The following is a 2,184-nucleotide window of genomic DNA, read 5'->3' as shown; positions in this document are numbered from 1 at the left end:
AGACAGACTGGAGTAAAAGTCCCTGGGAAGCTGTGAGGGAGGAGAGAAGTCTGTGTTGGAGAAAGGCTTGGGAGGGGGTGCCTAACCAGGAATGGAGGACGCATTCTCATTTTCATGCTTGCTCTGTTTCTGTCTCCTCTTCTCTGCCTCTTTTCGTCACGTCCTAGAGAAACTCCTCTATGAACCTGAGGTCATCAACTCCACCATGTGCGCCCCTGCCTGGGGCAGACTCCCTGGGCAGGGCTGGGGGAAGGGGGTTTGCTGGTAAAGCTGGTTCCCAGTTAGGGCAGTGCTGCAGACCAGACTTTCCAGGAAGCCTCTCCTCTCTGGCGCGTGTGTACACAGGCAAGTGCATGCTATGTGCCTGTGGGCATGCAGGGTGGGGTGGCAGGAGCGGGCACAGGTGGAAGCGTCTGGGTGGGAATCTGGGTGTGCTCCTGTGCTTATGCATTTGTGGGTGTGTGTGTGTGCACGCATGACTGTCCCCGAGTGCGTCTTTGTGAGTATGGGTGTGTGCACAGGTACACACCACAGGACAGTTGGAATTCGGTATGTTTTTCACAGATATGGCTAGGGACTTGGCCTTATTGCTCCAAGTCACACAGACTCAGTGATTTTGCTGCTTCAGTTGTGTATGGCATCTCCTCTTTTTCAACATATGGGTGGAGAAGTTGCTGCCCGAGAGAAGACTAGATAGAGCAGGGAGTCCTCCGAGCATTCCATAGATCCCTTGGTGCAGGCCACCTGCTGGCAATGGAGCCTCTGCAGCTCTTGGCCTTTGGTGGCTTCCCTTGTCCTCCTGCTGCCACTTCCAGCCTGAGCTCACTCTAGGTGCTCTGAGGGTGGCCAAGACAGTCCGGCCTTGGAGAAGACTGTGAGGGGCCAGGGGTAAACAGAGTCAGAACCAAGAGAACTGCATGGAGTTTATCCAGTGTGGAAATTCAAGCTGTTTCACTCGAACAGAGGGCAGCTGTTAAAGGACACAGCATATTATTTTCCAGGTGAGGCTCACCAAAGCCTCAACAAATGTGCAAACTGCATGACCAGCATCAGCACATTGCTTTACTGAGCGTTTACTACTGACTTGCAAATATGTGACTGGGGATTGGATGAGTCCCACATTTTTTGGAGGGGTCAGCACATTTTAAAATTGTTGAATTCATTGCCCACTTTTGAAAATTCCATGTAAAATCCGTATTTCTGGCTTCTCTTGAAAATTGAAAGAATTAGGAACATTGGTCCTGCATCCTTCTCATGAGGCAACAATTGGTCAAAACTGGGTGGAGAACCCTCTTTATTTATTTATATTTATTTATTTTTGGAGACAGAGTCTCACTTTGTCACCTAGGCTGGAGTGCAGTGGCATGATCTCAGCTCACTGCAACCTCCACCTCTCAGGCTTAAGCGATCCTCCCACCTCAGCCTCCTGAGTAGCTGAGACTACAGGCATGCACCACCATGCCCAGCTAATTTGTGTGTGTGTGTGTGTGTGTGTGTGTGTGTGTGTGTGTGTATATATATATATATATATTTTTTTTTTTTTTTTGTAGAGATGGTGTTTTGCCATGTTGCCCAAGCTGGTCTTGAACTCCTGGGCTCAAGTGATCCACCCGCTTTGGCCTCCCAAAGTGCTGGGATTATAGGTGTGAGTCACCATGCCCAGCCTGTTTAAGTTCTTTATAATGAACTTATTTTTTAAAAATGATACTTATACAGTGAGTTTTTTTTTCCGTTTGTTTGTTTTAAAGTTGAAAACCCTGAAAACAACTATACCAAGGAGTTAACAGTGTTTAATTCTGGGTCTTGGGAATAGGATTCTTTCCTTTTTAAAAAATTTTTGTATTGCTGTTAAACAAACTAGATATTTTTCAAGGCAGTATTTTTTCTGCATTTTTCAAATTTTTAGAAATGAAAACTTATAAATTTAATAAGATGACATAAATGAAGAAGCAGCAGGCATTTTGCAGGAGGCACACTTAGAAGGGAAACAAGCTATCTTAATTCTTGGTGTTGACTGAGTCTTTGGAAGTGCTAGGAACAGAGCTGGACAATGATGTAGAATCCAATGGGTGAGACTAGGAATTTAAAGTCCAACCTGTGAGCAGTCACAGACAGAGCCTGAGAATGCTTTGATGCAGAAAGGTGACCATTTCAGCAAAGATTAGCATGGGATTATATATAAAT

General features: G+C 45.8%; 1 annotated feature.

The window, feature by feature from the left end:
* Positions 389 to 965: an enhancer, noted in NCBI's record as "H3K4me1 hESC enhancer chr15:70809116-70809692 (GRCh37/hg19 assembly coordinates)". NCBI's record gives its function as "activates a minimal SCP1, AML or CMV promoter by ChIP-STARR-seq in naive H9 embryonic stem cells {active_cell/tissue: H9 hESC(naive)}" and the evidence as "EXISTENCE:reporter gene assay evidence [ECO:0000049][PMID:30033119]".

This window comes from Homo sapiens, chromosome 15, assembly GCF_000001405.40.
Source record: "Homo sapiens chromosome 15, GRCh38.p14 Primary Assembly".
NCBI lineage: Eukaryota > Metazoa > Chordata > Mammalia > Primates > Hominidae > Homo > Homo sapiens.
The sequence above is the reverse complement of the archived record's forward strand: the minus strand, read 5'-3'. Positions and strand labels throughout refer to the sequence as shown.